At 46.2% G+C, this 20,538-nt stretch overlaps 1 long non-coding RNA gene and 1 pseudogene across 1 annotated transcript; both read right to left on the bottom strand.

Moving 5' to 3' along the window:
• LOC102724459 (proton channel OTOP1-like) overlaps positions 1-8,390 on the bottom strand; it is a 31,365-nt pseudogene extending 22,975 nt beyond the window's left edge.
• Positions 8,391-17,778: 9,388 nt separating this feature from the next.
• LOC107987365 (uncharacterized) lies at positions 17,779-20,283 on the bottom strand. The gene is made up of 2 exons (XR_001756123.2): positions 19,624-20,283; positions 17,779-18,875 (listed from the first exon to the last, which is right to left on the bottom strand). It is a non-coding gene; the product is annotated as an uncharacterized LOC107987365 (long non-coding RNA).
• Positions 20,284-20,538: the final 255 nt, after the last annotated feature.

Raw genomic sequence — 20,538 nt, 5'->3', positions numbered from 1 at the left:
CTGGGTGGTGCCCCAAAATTTTCATCTCTAACAAGTTTTCAAGTGGGGCTGCCACTGTTGATCTAGGCCCCGCTTTGAAAACTACTGGTCTAGACCATCTCTGTGGTTGACATGCCAAGTGTTCAATAATATACTCTTTAAGTCCTCCCTTTCTTCCTATGTTCATCCATTCATCCATGGATTCATTCAGCCAGTTGTTTATACAACAAACACCTTGGGGACTCCTACTATGCATGAGACATTGTGCCAAGGGCTCAAAGACAGACATAGGAGATTGCTGTAGAAACAAAAATATACGAGTATAATATTGCATAAATTAGGGTGTGCACAAAATATCAGAGAGATGAGCTGGCAACAGACTTCCTCTGTGCAGCCTGGGAAACCAGAAGACAGTGGACGTATGTGCCACAAGGAAAAGACTGCACCTCAAAAACCTTATTCTCAGCTAAGATGTCGCCCATGTGTCAGGGCAAAAGGCAGAATGATGTTTGAAGTATACAAAATGTAATTTTTTCAACAGCTATTTATTGAGCAGCAACCATGGGCCAGGCATTGTCCCAGGCACTGAAGATATAAAGGTCAATAAAATAGAGTATCTGCCCTTGAGGAGTTTCACATCTAGTGGGGAAGGCAAAAAATAAACCGGTAAATAGTAAACACATAAAGAATGTCAGGAAGTGCTAAGTGCATGAAGAAAAGTAAAGCAGAAAAGGGGACTGAGGTTGAAGGTACATGGGCAGGAAAGGAGGTGATTGTTGAACAGAGAACAGAGAAAACTGTCATCCACATAACTTGTCTGACAAAGGACTTTAACCAAGGAGCTTGTGAACTGGAAGAGAGTCCCCAAAAGAGGGGAAGATGAGGAGGAGAGCAAATTATAGTGACCAATCAACTCTGTGGAAGGCTAGAGGAGGGTGGAGGTATAATGGATGGAGAGACAGATGGAGATAGATAATTAGATTAATAGGAGAGAAAAGAAGAACTTAAATTCAAATGGATAAACTGCCTGAGATGTGTAATTTACATACCCTATAAAGACTTGTCATACAGAATAGACATTTTGAGGCGAAATTCTATTAACTATCTCTACAAAACCCATAAGTTCGGCCAAGCACAGTGGCTCACACCTGTAATCCCAGCGCTTTGGGAGGCCGAGGCAGATGGATCACCTTTGGTCAGGAGTTCGAGATGAGCCTGGCCAACATGCTGAAACCCCGTCTTTACTAAAAATACAAAAATTAGTCTGGTGTGGTGGCAAGCATCTGTAGTCCCAGCTACTTGGGAGGCTGGGGCAGGAGAATGGTGTGAACCCAAGAGGCAGAGGTTGCAGTCAACTGAGATTGCACCATTGCACTCCAGCATGGGTGACAGAGCGAGACCCCATCTGAAACAAAACAACACAAAACAAAACAAAACAACAACAACAACAACAAAAAACCTAAGTTGGAAAAGGACTGGATAGGGAACAAAGAAAAACCTTTGAAAGCCCTCAAGGTAAATAAATGGAAAAGGAGAGGGAAGAAGGGAAAGGAATAGGGAGGCAAACGTATCCTAAAGATCTCATCCCATTAGGTAGAGAGGAAGTGGGAGCAGTGAACATCTTGGAGTGGGACACAGTGTGGCTTGCTGAGGGAAATGTTCAATATTTTGTTTTCAAATAAGAATGAAGTAATAGGCAGCTGGGCGCGGTGTCTCACACCTATAATCCCAGCACTTTGGGAGGCCAAGATGGGCGGAACACTTAAGGTCAGGAGTTCAAGACCAGCCAGGCCATGATGGTGAAACCCTGTCTCTACCAAAAACACAAGAAATTAGCCCAGTGTGGTGATGGGCACCTGTAGTCCCAGCTACTTAGGAGGCTGAGGCAGGAGAATCGCTTGAACCTGGGAGGCGGAGGTTGCAGTGAGCCGAGATCATGCCACTGCACTCCAGCCTGGGCAACAAAGTGAGACTCTGTCTCAAAAAAAAAACAAAAAACAAAAAACACAACGACTGTATGAGGAAGCTATAACAGCCACACATGTGCCCAAATAAAACAGATTTTGATTTATATAAACACATATATATGTATAAATATATATATACAAGTATATATATACACATATACATAGATAAGTATATATACACATATACATATATATTTATGCATGTATAAATATATATACATATATAATTTCGCAATTACTTAACTTACCTTTGCCTCAGTTTCCCCATCTCTAAGATGTAATGACAGTAATAACACTTATCTCATAGGGGTGCTGAGGAGATTAAGTGAGTCTTTACATGGAAGTCACCTAGAACAGTGTTCCTTACCTAGAAAGTTCTATAAGCGGGATGTTATTAGCATCACTCAATCGCCAAGAAAATGTTGATGCATTAGAACCAATTAGAAAGTTTACCAGCTACAATACTTGAGAATAATCCAAAGACTACATAGGGTACCCATCTAGTGATGGCAGAGGGAACCCCCTCCTCTTTGTTAGGCACCCAAATCCCTCCTAGGAGTCTAGAATCTTGAACCCCCCTCTTAGAGGCGGAAAGTCCCACAGAGTTAGTCTGCATTCTATCCCATGCAAGAATGCTTTCCAATGCATCATGACCGGAAGCCATCTGATCTCTACTTGGACAAGCCCAGGGCTGGGAGGCTCAACATCTCTCAAAGCGCACCCTTCCATCACCAGCTGGTACTTACTTTGTGTTTTATTTTTATTTTATTTTAATTTATTTTATTTTATTTTATTGAGATGGAGTCTCACTCTGTTGTTCAGGCTGGAGTGCAGTGGCATGATCTTGGCTCACTGCAAACTCTGCCTCCTGGTTTCAAGCAATTCTCCTGCCTCAGCCTCCCGAGTAGCTGGGATTACAGGCACTCCACATAGCGAGACCCCTGTCTCTACAAAAATCAATTTTTAAAAAATGAGCCAGGCGTGGTAGCACACACCTGTAGTCCCAGCTATTTGGGAGGCTGAGGTGGGAGGAGCACTTGAGCCCCAGAGTTCGAGGCTGTAGTGAGCTATTATCACACCACTTCATTCCAGCCTGGGAGACATAGGGAGACCCTGTCCTTATTAAAAGATAAAAATAAAATAAAGAAAGAAAGAAGATTGTGCAGGTGTTGCCTCCTCCCTGAACCTCGCAGCCTTCCTGCAGACTTGGGCTCCTCCCAGGCCCCTGGTGGTAGCCCTGCTCAAGGGTGCTGTGCTGCTTACTCTGTCCCCACCCCCAAGCTCCTAGAAGTTGAGGGCTAAGTCTCACAGGTCACGCTCCCCAACTTCCCAGTGAGGGCTCATTAGCTGTTTGTTTATTGCTGTTTCTCTACCTGAACATCAGCTCCACCTGAGCAGAGCCTTTCATAGCTGAAACCCCAGCACCTAGAACAGAGATCAGCAAATGATTCATAATTTGCTGTGTCCCACCATGCCCAGCTTTTTGTATTTTTAGTGGAGACGGGGTTTCACCATGTTGGCCAGGCTGGTCTCAAACTCCTGACCTCAGGTGATCTGCCCACCTCAGCCTCCCAAAGTGCTGGGATTACAGGCGTGAGCCACCACGCATGGCCTGGTGCTTACTTTAGAATGTTTTTCTTTATATTGAAGTGCAGTTGACTTCCCAGAACTATCGTCTTCTTCCCTGGAGCTTCTATCATCATTCACTTATTCATCCACCCATCTAGTCATCCATCCATCCACCCAATCATTCAATCATCCAATTATTCAGTAGCTAGGAATTGGCATTTACTACATGTTAGGCACTGTGCCAGGAGCTCGGGATACAATGGTAAGCACATTCAGACAGGGTCTCTGCCTTTAGGGGCTCAGTCTGGCTACCCCAACAGTCACTGAATAATACAATATCCTGCTTGATTAGTGCTAGAAAGAAAATGAAGAGTGCTATGAGACCATACAACATGGGGGCTTCCCCTGGTCTGAAACTATCGGGAGAGGCTTCCCAGAGGAAATGACTCTTACTTGCTGAAAGACAGAGGATGGCCTGGAGCTGACAGGTGCAAGGCAGCAGCACTTTCTACCCTGTGACCTCCGCATCCTTCTCTCTTCTGGACTGAACCTCCTTTTGCTCCTCCTGCCGCCACTCTTTCCAAGGGCCTGTGAAATGCTCAAGGAGGATGAGACCCTCCACACACAGTCTGATTTCCTTTCCAATGAAAGCCAAGCCTGCATCTGATTTTTTGGCAGCCACATTCGCTCGTTTGTGTTGAAATCGTGACACTATGTCTATATTTTCCATTGGACCAGAAATATCATCTAAGAAAAGAAATAAGTAAGAAAATGCATGCAGTTAAGCAAGACCCTCATAGTGGCCCCAGAATGGATCTTGAGGATCACTGGTCTTTTTCCTGAGGGACTTGCCCTCTGCCTATTGATCTAAGATTGTCACCAACACCAGGGCAGAGCTGAGTTCCCGGGTCAAACCTGTCTTTCCAGCTAGAATTCCAGAGGAAACCCCAGTCCCTGTTGGGGCTGAAGGTGCTTCCTTTTGGCATCGGGGCCTCTCGACACTAATAATTAGCGTCTTGCTTCTTTGAGGAACCCACAGGAATGGCCAGGGCTTTGCAAACTGCTTCTCTCAACATCCCCCAGCTCCTCCCAGAGAGTCGACTGGGATTCTTATCTTACTGATGAGGAAAGCAGAACTCAGAAAGGTGAAGGTGACAGAGCTGAGACCTCAAGCCAAGCCCTCCAGAGCCAACACCATTTCCATGATACACACACCTCACTTGAATTACATTATTATGGGGCAACTCACTGAATGTCTAAAGAGCTACCACCTACTGAACACCTATCACGTGCTCTCTCTACCTTGCCCATTTATTCCCTCTCTACTTAGTGTCCCAAAGACACCTCAAATGTAGCATGTCCATAAGAGAACTGTAACATGTCATTGGTTTTGTGTCCCCACCCTGCTCTTCCCTTTGGCTTCCCAATCTTGGGAAATGGTGCAACCATTCACCCATAGACTCAGGCGCCAATGCTCGGAGTCAACCTGAAAGGAGGCAGAGAGAGAGGAAGAACAAAAAAACACGGATGGATGGACAGATGGATGGATGGATGGATGGATAGATGGATGGATGGATGATGAATAAGTGTGGATGGGTGGATGGATGCATGGTGGATAAATAAGTGAATGATGATAGAAGCTCCAGGGAAGAGGATGATGGTTCTGGGAAGTTAACTGCACTTCAATATAAAGAAGAGCATTCCTTGGATAAGGATAGACTGAGTAGAAAAAGAAGAAAGAGGAAGAAGAAGAAGAAGAAGAAGAAGAAGAAGAAGAAGAAGAAGAAGAAGAGGGAGGAGGAGGGGGAAGGGGAGGGTGGGAAGGGGGAAGGGAGGGGGAGGGAGAGGGGGAGAAGGAGAGGAGAAGGAGAAGGAGGAACATTCTAAATGCACCAGGCTGGGCGTGGTGTCTCATGCCTGTAATCCCAGCACTTTGGGAGGCAAAGGCAGGCAGATAACCTGAGCTCAGGAGTTTGAGACCAACTGGGCCAACATGGTGAAACACTGTCTCTACTAAAAAATACAAAAATTAGCCAGGTGTGGTGGCATGTGCACCTGTAGTCCCAGCTAATCAGGAGGCTGAGGCAGGAGAATCACTTGAACCCAGGAAATGGAGGTTGCAGTGACCCATGATCTAGCCACTGCACTCCAGCCTTGGCAACAGAGTGAGATTCCATCTCAAAAACAAAAACAAAAACAGCAGAGGAGAGAGGAAGAGAGGAAGGAAGAGAAAGAGAGGAGAGAGGGAAGAGGGATAGTGGAGGGAAGGCTAGAGGAAGGAAGAGAGGAAGGAAGAATGAAGGAGGAGAAGAGAGAAAGAAAATGAGGAAAAAAATAAGGAAAGGGAGGCTGGGCATGGTGACTCACACTGGTAATCCCATCACTTTGGGAGGCTGAGGCAGGCAGATCACGAGGTCAGGAGTTCGAGACCAGCCTGGCCAACATGATGAAACCCCGTCTCTACTAAAAATACAAAAAATAGCTGGGCATGGTTGCAAGCGCCTATAATCCCAGCTACTTGGGAGGCTGAGTCAGGAGAATCGTTTGAACCCGGGAGGCGGAGGTTGCAGTGAGCCGAGATCGCACCATTGCACTCCAGCCTGGGTGACAGGGCAAGACTCCATCTCAAAAAAAAGATAAAAAGGAAGAAAAGGGAGAGAAAAGGGAAGGGGAGGGAATAGGGAGGGAGGGAAGAGGAAGAAAGGAAAGGAGAAAGAGGGAAGGAAGAAGGGAGAAAAAAGGATGGAGGAGAAAAAGAAGTGAGGAACAAACAAGGGGGCTTTGACTGTAGGAAAACACAGGTAAAGGCTCATGTGTATAATACTTTTTAGCCTGTGTAAGTCAATATCCTAAAATAACACTTTGTGCCTTGTTTTAAACAGCACCACATTCACTGTCATTCACAGAGTCACAAAACCATTAACTTCCCTAAAACAACCAATTTCAGAACAGGAATTTGGGCCACCCTGCAATGGTGTCAAATTTCCCCAAAAGCAAGATGAACTAGATCCAGTCCCTGAGCCTAAGAAGTCTAAAATCTCTTCTGGATGATAAGGCTAATATTCAACAGTCATAATACAAGGCAGAAACAGACAAGGACCAAAAGAGCTTTACAGAAGGAGGGCCATGGTGGCCCATGGAAGTGAGGAGTAATTCCTGCCAGGCATTTGTGAAGAAGGTGGCATCTGGCCAGGACCTTTGAAAGAAGTGCAGAAAGGAGGCCTAGTGTGTGCTGGGCAGCCACCTCATCAATCACTGGATCCTATCCAGTGTGAGATCCCCATTCTACAGATGCCGACACCAGGGTTCAGGGTAAGGAAGGCAATCAAGCAACTTGCCCGAGGTCATGCATGCAAGGAACACGGAAGCCCCACTCTAATGGAGATTTAAATTCAGGTCTAATATGAGAATCCAAGTGGCAATGTGTGATGTGTCTGGACCACGTGGTGTGAAATGCAGTCGGCTTCTCCTGGGAAGGTTACTCAGACAGAAGCTTTCTTCACAAGCATGCTCCCCACGGCCTCCTCCCTTTCACCTGCACCATGTCTGTCTCCCATTCAAGACTGGCAACCCCAGCCAGGCACAGTGGCTCATGCCTGTGATCCTATCATTTTGGGAGGCCAAGGCAGGAGGATCCCTTGAGGCCAGGAGTTTGAGAACAGGAGACAACACAACGAGGCTCTATCTGTACAAAATATAACAAAACTTAGCCAGGCAAGGCCATGTGTACCTATAGTTCCAGCTATTCAGGAGGCTGAAGTGGGAGGATTGCTTGAGACCAGGAGGAAGAGGCTGTAGTGAGCTGTGACTGTGCCACTGCACTCCAGCCTGGGAGATAGAGCAACATTGTCTCAAAAAAAAAAAAAAAAAAAAAAAAAAAAAAAAAAGATGTGGCAGCCCCTTGAGAAAGGAAGAGCTCCTATCTTGACGATTTCAGCCAATGCCCGTGAGTACCAGCAGGAGCCTCTATCCCTCTCTGCCCCACCCTGCATCCACGCATTCATTACATCATTCATCCCCCCTCATTTTCTCAACACCCACTTGTGCCAGGCCCTGAGGTGGCTCTAGGACCGAGAGACAGGGATCACAGAGCTCCCCAGTGGAGTGGAGGGTACAGACATGTCGACAAGAACACTGGAACCCAGTGCGGGCTGGGAGCGTGCGGTCAGACCTGCAAAGCGGGGAAGAGAAGGGGGTCGGAGAAGCTTCGCGGGGAGAATGGGGTGAGGCCTGAGGCCTGTCTCGGAAAGCAGAGGGGCAGGTGGGAGAGTGGAAAAGACATTCCTGGAGGAGGGAACCAAAGGTGCTGAATGTGCAGAGGCAGAGATCCTGCGACAGGAGAGAAAGTCCTCGAGAATGACCCCAGCATAGGATGAGAACAAAGAAGGGGATCAAAGGAAACGGGCCCTCGGTGGCCGGGTGCTAGAAGGCTCTGAGTGTCAGGAGAGGGAGCGTGACCTCCCTCATGGGGTCAGTAGGGCCACTGTATGGCTTTAAGCCAGGGAAGGACAGGAGAGGTTTCTGTAACTGTGGCTGTAATGATGGAAGCGTCTGGAGGCGGAGAGGAGGCTCCTGCGACGACCCAGGCTTCAGAGAGAGAGAGAGAGAGGAAAGAAGGAAGGGCAGATAGGAAAGCTAGGAAAGATGCACAGAGAGACCAAGGCAGAAAAGGCTGAAGGGAAGACGGCAGTGGTAGGAAGGGGGCAGAGCCGTCTCAGGATGCAGCCAGCGGGCGAGGAGGCAGAGACCCGCTTGCCCGGTGCCTGGACTCACCAGCCGGTGCAGCCAGCCGGCGCCGGCGTGCGTGTCCTTGAGACGGAAGAGGCGGCGGTGCGCGGAGCTGCGGCCCACGTACCACAGCATCTGCAGCAGCATGAGCGCCGTCAGGAAGCACAGCAGGTCGCTCTTGCTCACGCCCGCGGCGTGCACGGCCCAGGCCAGCAGCAGCAGCAGCCCCGCCACGAACACGATCAGCCCATACTGGCTGCTCAGCATCTCGGCCAGCCTCTGTGGGACGCTGGCGCGCACACCGCCCCTCCGGGGGGCCGGGGACTCCGGGCACCTCGGGGCCGACGGCGAGGGAGGCGGGCAGGCCGCGGGCCCCGATGACCCCGCGACTGAGGCGCTCGCAGCTGCCCGGGGCCAGGCGGGCGACCCCAGGCCCTCAAGCATCTTCAAGACACCCGCGCCAAGTCTGGCCCCGGGGGTGGCTGCCGTCGGGCCCCGCCTGCGCTCCTGGCTCCTGTCCTTGCTCGGACGCCTCTGCCAACCAGCCCCCCCCTTTTCAACTCCCCTCCGATTCCTACCCCACGCCCCCGACAACCTGCCCCGTCTCCTGTCACTTCCCGACGCCCGCCCTCCCCTCTTCTGCCCCTTCGTCCTCAGTCAAGGTACCACCCTGTCCACTTACCCAGCGCCTCACCCCGCTGACCCGGGATTCTACGAGCTCCCTTGCCCACTGCCCCTCACTGGGCAACGCCCGGGGCAGCCATCTGTCCCCTCCGGGACCCACGCGGACCGCTCCCGGCTCCTGATCCCTGGGACACTGGCCAGCCCTGCCCCGACACTAGCGCGTCCTCCCGCACCTCTGCCCGCGCGCCCGGCCCCCGCCCACCGTCTGCAGCCCTCACCCCTACGCCGACGCCCACCCACCCAGCCCCTGTCCCGGCGCCTCAGAAACGCTGGGTGACGAGAGATGCCTCCCAGAGTCCCGGGGTTGCGGGGCTGGGGAGAGGGGGTCTTCCAGAGCCAGCCCGAAGTGGGGTGTGCGCGGGGGGCGTGGCTGCTGCCAAGTGGGGCGCACGGGGCTCCACAGGGGAGTGCGATGCTCCGGGCCTTCCCCGAGGGTCTCCGTTGGGGAACCCAGAGGTCCAGGTGATCCTGCCTGGGTCCGTGGCCGAGCGTCCGATGGTCTGTCCTTGTCCCTGCGTATTTCTGTATTGTCTTCTCTGTGCTGGTCACTCTGTGTCTGGCCGTCTGTTTTCGGGTGTGTCTGGTTAGGGGTGGAGGAGCGCCAGTCACTGGCTCTCTGAATTGGGGGAGGGGCCGCCTTCTGTGGGTTTTTCTGTTTGTCCATCTGGTGTGCCTGTGTGTCGGCTGCGAGACGCCCAGGCGCAGAATAAGACCTGAGCCACTTTCTAAGAAAAGAGACCATCCCGCACCCTCCCCCAAAGGAGCGGCAGCCATTCTGGACGCAGAGGAGCTGGAATGAGGGAGGCCCCAGGGTCTGCCCTGGGGCAACCGGCGCCCAAGCATCTCCACCAGCCCCTTCCAAAGCCCCGGTGCCTGCCTTGCACCTGCCTGCTCCCGGAAGGAGACTGCGTCTGCCAGGGCGCCCTGCTCGGGTGCCATTAAGTGGAGGTCTGGGAAGTTTCTGCAGAAGAGCGTTCTACCGGTCGGGCGTGGCTGACAGGAGGCGGTGGACCCCAGCCCCCCAGCTGCAGGTTGTAGAGGGGAGTTGGGAGCGAGCCTGGGGCGAGCCCCCATCCCACCATGCAGCAGCCCGGGGCTGGGCCCCGGAAGACACCCTCTCCCTCTTGGTTTAAGGCTCTTGCAGTCTTGAAATTCTTAATTTTTGAACAAGAGGGCCCAGGTTTTTGTTTTGCGCTAAGCGCGGCAAATTGCAATAGCAGGTCCTGACTAGTAAAGGAGGGGTGGGGAGTCCTGGGCCGGCAAGAAGTCAACCTGGGGGACCTTGCCTTGCCGCCATCATTCTTCCAATTCATGCATTCATTCATTTGATCAACACACATGTATGTGTTGACCTATGAATCATTTGCTGGTCTCTGTTGTAGGCGCTGGGGTTTCAGCTATGAAAGGCTCTGTTCAGGTGGAGCTGATGTTCAGGTAGAGAAACAGCAATAAACAAACAGCTAATGAGCCTTGACTGGGAAGCTGGGGAGCGTGACCTGTGAGACTTAGCCCTCAACTTCTAAGAGCTTGGGGGTGGGGACAGAGTAAGCAGCACAGCACCCTTGAGCAGGGCTACCACCAGGGGCCTGGGAGGAGCCCAGGTCTGCAGGAAGGCTGCGAGGTTCAGGGAGGAGGCAACACCTGCACAGTCTTCTTTCTTTCTTTATTTTATTTTTATCTTTTAATAAGGACAGGGCCTCCCTATGTCTCCCAGGCTGGAATGAAGTGGTGTGATAATAGCTCACTACAGCCTCGAACTCTGGGGCTCAAGTGCTCCTCCCACCTCAGCCTCCCAAATAGCTGGGACTACAGGTGTGTGCTACCACGCCTGGCTCAGTTTTTTAAAATTGTTTTTTGTAGAGACAGGGGTCTCGCTGTGTTGCTCAGGTTGATCTCAAACTCCTGGGCTCAAGGCATCCTCCTACCTCAGCCTCCCAAAGCACTGGGATTACAGGCTCCAGCTACCACGTCCAGCCTCCTGCACATTCTTTAGGCTTAGGAGTGGATGGCCAGGTGGAAGGGAGCAGGGGTCTGGAAAGGCAGTCCAGAGAGAGGATCCAGCAAACCTACTGGGAATCCTCCACCTTCTCCCCTCCTCTTCCTACCAACAGCCAGAGCAACCTGGGAGGCTGAGCTGAAGATGGAAGAGCCTGTCTGCGTGTCTCCCCAGTGACTAGTGAGGTGGCTTTTCCTCCCGAAGCTGGACCTTACATCAGTGAGAAATAAACTTCCATTGTGCTAAGCCACCAAAGTCTGAAATGTTACAGCAGCTAGCAGTACCTTAACCCATTGAGTACAAAGATAAATAACACTCAGTCACTATCTGAAAATCAAGTGGAATGCCTGTCTCTGGGCTACCTGCACTTTTGTTTGTTTGTTTGTTTGTTTGTTTGTTTGTTTGTTTTTGAGATGCAGTCTCACTCTGTTACCCAGGCTGGAGTGCAGTGGCACAATCATCTCAGCTCACTGTAACCTCTGCCTCCTGAGTTCAAGCGATTCTCCTGCCTCAGCCTCCCGAGTAGCTGGGATTACAGGCGCCTGCCACCATGCCTGGCTAATTTCTGTATTTTTAGTAGAGATGTGGTTTCACCATGTTGGTTAGGCTGGTCTCAACTCCTGACCTGGTGATCCACCCCTTGGCCTCCCAAAGTGCTGGGATTACAGGCATGAGCCACCACACCTGGCCTGCATTTTTTTAAGAAGCAATGAAATGAAAGTTTCTGGAGGCTAAAGTCAGCCCCCTTTATTGTAATCTCAAGACAATGTTAAAACTCACTGAGAGCCTGTAATCCCAGCACTTTGGGAGGTCGAGGCAGATCACTTGAGGTCAGGAGTTCGAGACTAGCCTGGCCAACATGGTGAAACCCCGTCTCTACTAAAAATACAAAAAATAGCTGGTGTGGTGGTGCACACCTGTAATCCCAGCTACTTGGGAGGCTGAGGCAGGAGAATCTCTTGAACCCAGGAGGCAGAGGTTGCAGTGAGCCAAGATTGTGCCACCGGACTCCAACCTGGATGACAGAGACTCCATCTCAATAAATACATAAATAAAACTGAGAGATTTACCCACACTGTGTTCTGCCTTCCACCAGTGAGATTTTTTTCAAAAGTCTGAGCCACACGGGGCCCCCAATTTCTTACGACTGACCCCTGCTCCATGATGGGCAGATACAAGGGGTCAGAGATGGTGCTCTGGTGGTGCCCAGGCCTGCTGTTTTCACCACATTTGGTGCATGTTACCCCTGCCCACACTGTGTCCTGAGAACTGTGTGGCATGGCTCAATCAGTGTAAAAGCTGGAAACGTCCTGACCAGGCAGCTGCTTCCCAGTGATGATTCAGTACCACGCAGATGGACAGGGAGGCATGGTGCCCTCGGGCATGGGCTCCCTTCCTTTTTTTCTTTTTTTTTTTTTTTAATATTTTAAGTTCTAGGGTACATGTGCACAACATGCGGGTTTGTTACATATGTATATATGTGCCATGGTGGTGTGCTGCACCCATTAATTCGTCATCTACATTAGGTATTTCTTTTAATGCTATCCCTCCCCCCTCCCCCCACCCCATGACAGGCCCCGGTGTGTGATGTTCCCCATCCTGTGTCCAAGTGTTCTCATTGTTCAATTCCCACCTATGAGTGAGAACATGCAGTGTTTGGTTTTCTGTCCTTGCGATAGTTTGCTCAGAATTATGGTTTCCAGTTTCATCCATGTCCCTACAAACGACATGAACTCATCCTTTTTATGGCTGCATAGTATTCCATGGTGTACATGTGCCATATTTTCTTAATCCAGTCTATCATTGATGGACATTTGGGTTGGTTCCAAGTCTTTGCTATTGTGAATAGTGCCGCCATAATCATACATGTGTATGTGTCTTTATAGTAGAATGATTTATAGTCCTTTGGGCATATACCCAGTAATGGGATCGCTGGGTCAAATGGTATTTCTAGTTCTAGATCCTTGAGGAATCACCACACGGTTTTCGACAATGGTTGAACTAGTTTACACTCCCACCAACAGTGTAAAAGCATTCCTATTTCTCCACATCCTCTCCAGCACCTGTTGTTTCCTTTTTAATGATCACATGAGCTCCCTTCTTCCAGTGAAGTTGACAGGATTTCACAAGGCCAGAGGCCCACTGGCACTCTCAACTACCAGAGATAATAGAAGGTCCCAAGGGGCAATTAGCACATTTTGCCCCCAGTCACCTTTGGTGGTAGCTATGTAATCCCAGTATTTTTAAGAACAAAAGAGTTAGACAGTGTATTCACTTCTTCTTTTTTTTTTTTTTTTTTTTTTTTTTGAGACAGAATCTTACTCTATCACCCAGGCGGGAGTGCAGTGGTGTGATCTTGGCTCACTGCAACCTCTGTCTCCTGGGTTCCAGTGATTCTCCTGATTCAGTCTCCCGAGTAGCTGGGATTACAGGCACACACCACCATGCCTGGATAATTTTTTGTATTGTTAGTAGAGATGGGATTTCACCATGTTGGCCAGGTTGGTCTTGAGCTCCTGACCTCATGATCCACCCACCTCGGCCTCCCAAAGTGCTGGGATTACAGGCATGAGTCACTGTGCACAGCCAAGTGGGTGGGTCTAACAAAGTGCCACTGACGGGGTGGCTTCAAAACAATGAAAATTTATTCTCTCACAGTTTGGGAGGCCAGAAGTCCAAAATCTAGACGTCAGAAGAGCCAAGTTCCCTCTGAAGGCTCCAATGGGGGGTCATCGCCAGCCTCTTCCAGTTTCTGCTGGTTGCTGGCAACCCCTAGCATTCCTTGGCTTGTGGCTGTATCACTCCAATCTTTGCCTCTGTTGTGACTTGACCATCTTTCCTTTGTATCTGTGTCTCTTTTCCTCTTCTTATAAAGACACCAGTCATAATGGGTTAAGGGCCCAACCTACTCCAGTATGACTTCATTGTAATTTACATCTTAATTAAATCTACAAAGACTCCATTTCCAAATAGGGCCACAATCAGAGGAACCAGGGGTTAAGATTTCAACAGATCTTCTGGTGAGCAAAAATTTAATCTATAACACACAAATGATAGTCAAGATATGGAATTAACCTGTGCATCCATCAATGGATGAATGAACGGACAAAGAAAATGTGTGTATGTATACACATTGTATACATACACAACAGAATATTATTCAACCTTAAAAAGAAGGAAATGGCCGGGCACAATGGCTCACGCTTGTAAACCCAACACTTTGGGAGGCCATGGTGGGTGGACTGCTTGTGCCCAGGAGTTCAAGACCAACTGGGCAACATGGCAAAACCTCAACTCTACAAAAAAATAAAAATAAAAATAAAAAGGCTGAGTGTGGTGGCTCATGCCTGTAATCCCAGCACTTTGGGAGGCTGAGGCAGGTGGATCACCTGAGGTCAGGAATTTGAGACCAGCCTGACCAACATGGAGAAACCCCTTCTCTACTAAAAATGCCTGTAATCTCAACTACTCAGGAGGCTGAGGCAGGATAATCACTTGAACCCAGGAGGCAGAGGTTGTGGGTGAGACAAGATCACACCATTGCACTCCAGCCTGGGCAACAAGAGTGAAACTCTCTCTCAAAAAAAAAAAAAAATTAGCTAAACCCAGTGGTGTGCACCTGTAGTCCCAGCTACTTGGGAGGCTGAGGTAGGAGGATCATTTGAGCCTGGGAAGTCCAGGTTTCAGTGAGCTGAGATTGTGCCACTGCACTCCAGCCTTGGTGACAGAGCCAGACCCTGTCTCAAAAAAGAAAAAAAAAAGGAAATCCTGACATTTGTAACAGTATGGATATGAACCTGGAAGATACTATGTTAAGTGACATAAGCCAAGCACAGAAAGACAAATGTCACATGATCTCATTTATATGTAGATCTAAAAAAGCTGAGGTCATATAGGTAGAGAGTAGAAGAGTGGCTACCAGGGGCTGGGCAGCAGGTGGAATTTGTGGGTTGGGAGATGTTGGTCAAAGGGTACAAAATTTCATTTAAGTAAGAAGAGTAAGTTCAAGAGATCTATTGTACAGCTTAGTAATTATAGTTAATAACAATTTATAGCATTTTAAAAATTGTGAAGAGTAGATTTTAAGAAATCTCACCACAAAAAATAAGTATGCAAAGTAATGCATATATTAATGAACTCCATCTAGCCATTCCACATGTACCCTTGGACTTCAAAACTTGGAAAAAATGAATTGAAAATATAAACTTTATGTCTCAACATAAACTCCATCAAGTTCAAGACACTTCTATAAGTCATGCTACAGCCATTTAGCCCATCCCTAAGGAACTGAAGGTCCTGAGAATTTAACCATATCAATGCAGTCTTTTACACATTAACTGAAAAGGGTATCCTTTACAGATTAAAATTACGAAACAAAAAGAAGTTAGGAGGAGTCAAATCAGGACTGTAATGATTTCCCATCAAAATTCTCCCAAAATTGCCCTTGATGACAGGAATAACCAGAAGCATTGTCATGGTGGAGGAGGACTCTGCTGAAATTTTCCCAAGAATTTTCTGCTAAAGCTTTGGGTAACTTTCTCAAAACCCTCTCATAATAAGCAGATGTTACCATTCTTTGGTCCTCCTGAAAGTCAACAAGGAAAGTGCCTTGAGCCCCAAAATACTGTTGCTATGAGTTGTGCTCTTGACTGGTCTGCTTTTGCTTTGACTGACCCACTTCCACTTCTTGGTAGCCATTGCTTTGATTGTGCTTTGTCTTCAGGATAGTACTACGAAATCCATGTTTCATAACTTGTTGCAACTTTTCGAACAAATGCTTCAGGATCTTGATCCCACTGTTTAAATTTCCATTGAAAGCTCTGCTGTTGTTTGCAACTGATCTGGGCACAACAGTTTTGGCACCCATCAAGTGCAAAGTTGGCTTTCAGTCAGAATTGTGTAACCTGAACCAATTTGACGTCTATGACACTGTCTATTGTTTCTGCTATTGTTAACTGCTATTAATCATCAGTCCTCTTTGATTAGGGCATAAACAAGATGAATTTTTTCCTCAAAGATTCGTGTGTAGGGTCTCTTACTGAGGGCTTCCTCTTCAACATCATCTCATACCTTCTTAAAACAAGTTATTCATTTGTAAGCTGTTGATTTCTTTGGGGCATTGTTCCCATAAACTTTTCATGAAGCATTAGTGATTTTACCATTTTTCACCCAAGCTTCATAATAAATTGATGTTTGTTCTTGCTTCGATTTTAGCAGAATTAATGTGGTCTCTTTTCAAACTGATGTCTTATCCTTCTTAGTGTCTCAAACTAGATCCTGTTCAGACATGTTATGACAAGTTAAAGACTCTGTCTCAAAAAGTCTTTTTTTAAGTAATAGGACAATCTTCATACCATCCTAATTGGCCAGTTATTAGCTCTTGGGAAACTGGGTTTTAACTAATTGTTTTAAACACATGCCAGCCTTAGATTTCTATCCATGTTGTAAACATACTCTTCAAGAAAAAAAAAAAAAGATATAAAATGTGTGAAGGCTGACACTGGGGCACTCTCCACCCAAGCTCCCTCCAGGGAGTGTGATCCAAATGTCCTCCCTTCCCGGGCTGCTGCCTCGGTTGTGCCGGACCCTCACATCACTGCCTGATTGATTCATCACTGCCTGATTCGGCTGCCTGATTGTGGCCTTTGCCTGGCCTTGCTCCCTATTTTAAATGACACTCTCGCCACACCTTCACATACCCATGACAACAAACTGGGTTTACTTCTGTCTACTCATCATGCCTGACTTTCCCCTTTGCAAACATCATGACGGGATGTGATATTCCTGATCCTAGATTCTGCTTTCCCTTTCTTTCCCTCTCCATTACCATTTATTGAGTGGACACCTACTGTGTCAGGCACTGTAATTGGTGTTTTACAAACATTATTACTATTACCCACAACCCTACAAGACAGATATTGTTCCCACTTCACAGCTGAAAAAAGATTACAGGCTGACTACCCCTTCTCTGAAATGCTTGGGACCAGAAGTGTTTTGGATTTTGGAATACTTGCATTGTATTCCAAAACCCGAAATGCTCCAATGAGCATTTCCTTTGAGTGCCATATCAGCAATCAAAAAGTTTCAGATTTTGAAATTAGGGATACTAAACCTGTACTACTGAAGGTCTTGAAGCTAGTAAATGGCAGGGTATGATCTGAACCAGACACAAGTGGTGATTAAGTCAAATCATTACTAGAAGTCACCTTACAGAGAAAACAATCAACATGAGGTACATTCTGTCACAATGCTTATGCTGTTTAGATTTAATGTAGATATATTTGCATTTGAAAGTGCAAATACTGTCTTTATAAAGTCTTTGAAGAACAGAGTTAGCCCTTGTTATTTCTATGGTTAATTCAAAGTGCTAATAGCTAAAAACCAGAAGTCATTCCAAAGTTTGCATGAACAAAACTCACAAGAAAGTTATAAAAATATTTTATTTAAATGGTACAGAAAAAAATATGTATACTTAAAAATGATTAAAACTTCACATTAGGAAATGCTAAAAACCCAGTAATTTACACAATGATAAAATCTAAAGTGACGGGAAAACATAAAATATTTTCATTTGGTCCTGTCACCTAACAAAACGATCATAAATATGAGATTATAGTAATTACTAAAGCTGGTTAAAGGCACATGACAACGTAATTCCTTTATACATATCCAGTCATTTTATACAAGGAACTGCTATCCCTTAAATGGAAGAGTGAACTATTTGTTTAAAATATTAAGAGTGCATCATGTACCTATAATGAAACCACTTTCTCCAAAGACTCAAACAGATTAACATTGCAAAATAGTATTTCTGTATCACTGACTTCTGAAAATTTTAATAATTTAAGAATATGCAAGTGAAATATAATTTATTCTGGTTTCAAAAATAGTTATACAAAGTCACAATTTTCCCCAGGAAACCATTCACTTCATAGCTGCAAAAACACACTGTAGCTTTTCTGTTAGGGTCTGTCATGCTTTCAGCTAGCTGGATGTTTAACCATTCACTTCAAATTTACGTGTCCAGCCATGCACGGTGGCGTGGGCCTGTAGTCCCAACTACTTTGAAGGCTGAGGCAGGAGGATCACTTGATCCCAGGAGTTCAAAGCCAGCCTGGGCAACATAGAAGACCCTATCTCTTAAAAAAAAAAAGTATATATCCTTAAATCTGAAAGAAAACCAGCATTTATGTAACAAGTAAAACATTCTATCTTAAGCTATTGCATTTAACACTAAAAAGCATAGTTCACTCTGTGATCTACAACGTTGTCTGAGTCTCCATTACAATTGTAAATTCATGTCAGGGTAAGAGCTCCCAAACATCTGTAAAAACTCAAAATTCAAGAGTCAAAGAAGGGGCTGAGCACATGAGAAGGGGAGAGATGGGTGACAGGGTCAGGTGAGGAAGTGTTCTGAGATGTGTAGGATTCCTCCGGGCCCAAAGCAGCTTGTGGCACCACATGCATACAGGAACGAAGGGCCTCCTGTGAGGGCTCCCAGTGGTTCCAAGACACAGCAAGGTGCCTGAAAGAGGCTGGAGACATTGGCGTGGGCATGGAGGTGCTAGCAACTATTTTCAGACTGCTAACAATGAGACTGTGTCCATTTCTTCTTTGTACAGTTACCATTGACCTTCCTTTAAAATCCCACAGGGAGAACATGCTGTTTTTAGCAGAAATGTCAGTTTTCATTAACTCCTTGAAAATTTAGTGTATTAACTTTCATTTCCATGAGCTTCAATTTCCACACCTGTCAACTGCTGTATAAAGCAGGTTTCCTGCAAGTTCTGATGTAAGTGACCTGACAGGAGGCACTATCTTTGTCCTTCTCAACATGCCTCTAAGCATCTGGAGTGAGTATTCTCAATATGCACTTATTTAATAACAGAGTTATCCGACACTCAGAAAACAGCCTCCACTGTGTAAGGCAGCAGATCTCAGGATGGGGTGATCTGTAGGGAGGCAGAAATTCTATAAATAACACCAAACAAAAGCTGATTGTGTCATCCAACACATTTTTATGAGGAAGTCAGAATAATTAGAAGATGGTAGAATTTTTTTTCCCAGTTGGGTAAAATTGTCCATTCTTCCTGTATTCCCATTTCTTAAGAATGATCTAGCCAACAGTCATTGAATATAAGCTGACACAAATTAATATAATTTCAACATAAAATGGTCTAATGTGTGAATTTAACTATATTGGAAGGTACAAATCCTGTCTTTATGAGGTCTTTGAAAGGCAGGGTACCTTCTCTAAAAAGTAGTCACTTAGAACCAACTTTTACAAAAGAAAGAGTCTCAGCCCCCAACCCCTGCCAGCCTGGGCAAAATAAGGAGACTCTGTTTCTACAAAAAAAATTTTAAAAATTAGCCAAGCGTGGTAGCACATGTTTGTAATACCAGCTCCTTGGGAAGCTAAGGTGGGAGGATCGCTTGAGCCCCCAGGTGATCAAGGCTGCAGTGAGCGGTGATCATGCCACTGTACTCCAGCCTGGACAACAGAGTGAGACACTGTCTCAAAAAAAAAGGAGTCTATCTCAGAGTTCAACGAATGGATAATTCTAGTGTGGACAACTCTGGTGTAAACATGACTGAAAATAATTCACAAATAGTCTGTTACAGCTCCATCCACTGAAAATTGTCATAAAAGACATTTTTCAAATGAGTTCATTTTTAGAAAAACCATTCCAGATATCTTACCTTCGGAAATCATCCAAGGAGTGTGATAAACATTATAACCCCCATAAACTGGGTAAACAACAACAATGGAGTGAAAAACGACCACACATGCCATAAAGCAATGTTGAAGCTGAAAAGAACAAGACATAAACAGTTGACAACTCAAATATGCATCAATATATTTTATTCTAGAATCCAGATTTAAAGTATTCAATGTAGAAAAGTTCATCCAGTCAGCAACCTTCTCCATGTATCATATTTCTCAGCTATGTGACTTAGCCAATGCTGGAAAGAAAACTCTAGATATACTTACACAAGTATCACAATTTCTTCAAGAAGGCCCTGGAACTGGAACCACTAAAGGTCTCCTAATAGGAGTTGACATGGCTTAATAGAAACTGCAGTCTCTTAGTTTCTGCACTTGAACAAGAATTTAAATGGCTACAGCCCATTTTTATGACATCACACACTAAACTATGGTAAAAAAGACCAAAGTATTTTCTCTTAAAAACAGAATGAAAACAGTTATCACTTATAAGCTGCTATTATATATTTCATTGAGAAGAACACTATTCCTGTCATCAAAGTAAAATTAAAACACTTTCTAAGTGTAAAGATTGTTAATGACTGAAATTTCTAAGAACAGAATAGGAAAAACTATATTCAAATAAGTTCAGATGGTTATTGGTTTTAACATACAATATTTTGATAAGTATGAGTATTAAATAACTATAATCACACTGTCTAAAAAATTAATATTTCTGGAGATGATCTTAGCCTTATGGGAAAAAGTAAAAAAACATATCTGTATGCCCCCACATACAGGTTAACAATAACCACATCACACTGTCAAACACCCTTGAACTTCAACTACAGAAAATAAGTCATAGAAAGAATATGTATAAAGGTATATGGTTCTTCCAAAATAAAAATTCA

Source organism: Homo sapiens, assembly GCF_000001405.40.
Source record: "Homo sapiens chromosome 1 unlocalized genomic scaffold, GRCh38.p14 Primary Assembly HSCHR1_CTG7_UNLOCALIZED".
Classification (NCBI taxonomy): domain Eukaryota; kingdom Metazoa; phylum Chordata; class Mammalia; order Primates; family Hominidae; genus Homo; species Homo sapiens.
The sequence above is the reverse complement of the archived record's forward strand: the minus strand, read 5'-3'. Positions and strand labels throughout refer to the sequence as shown.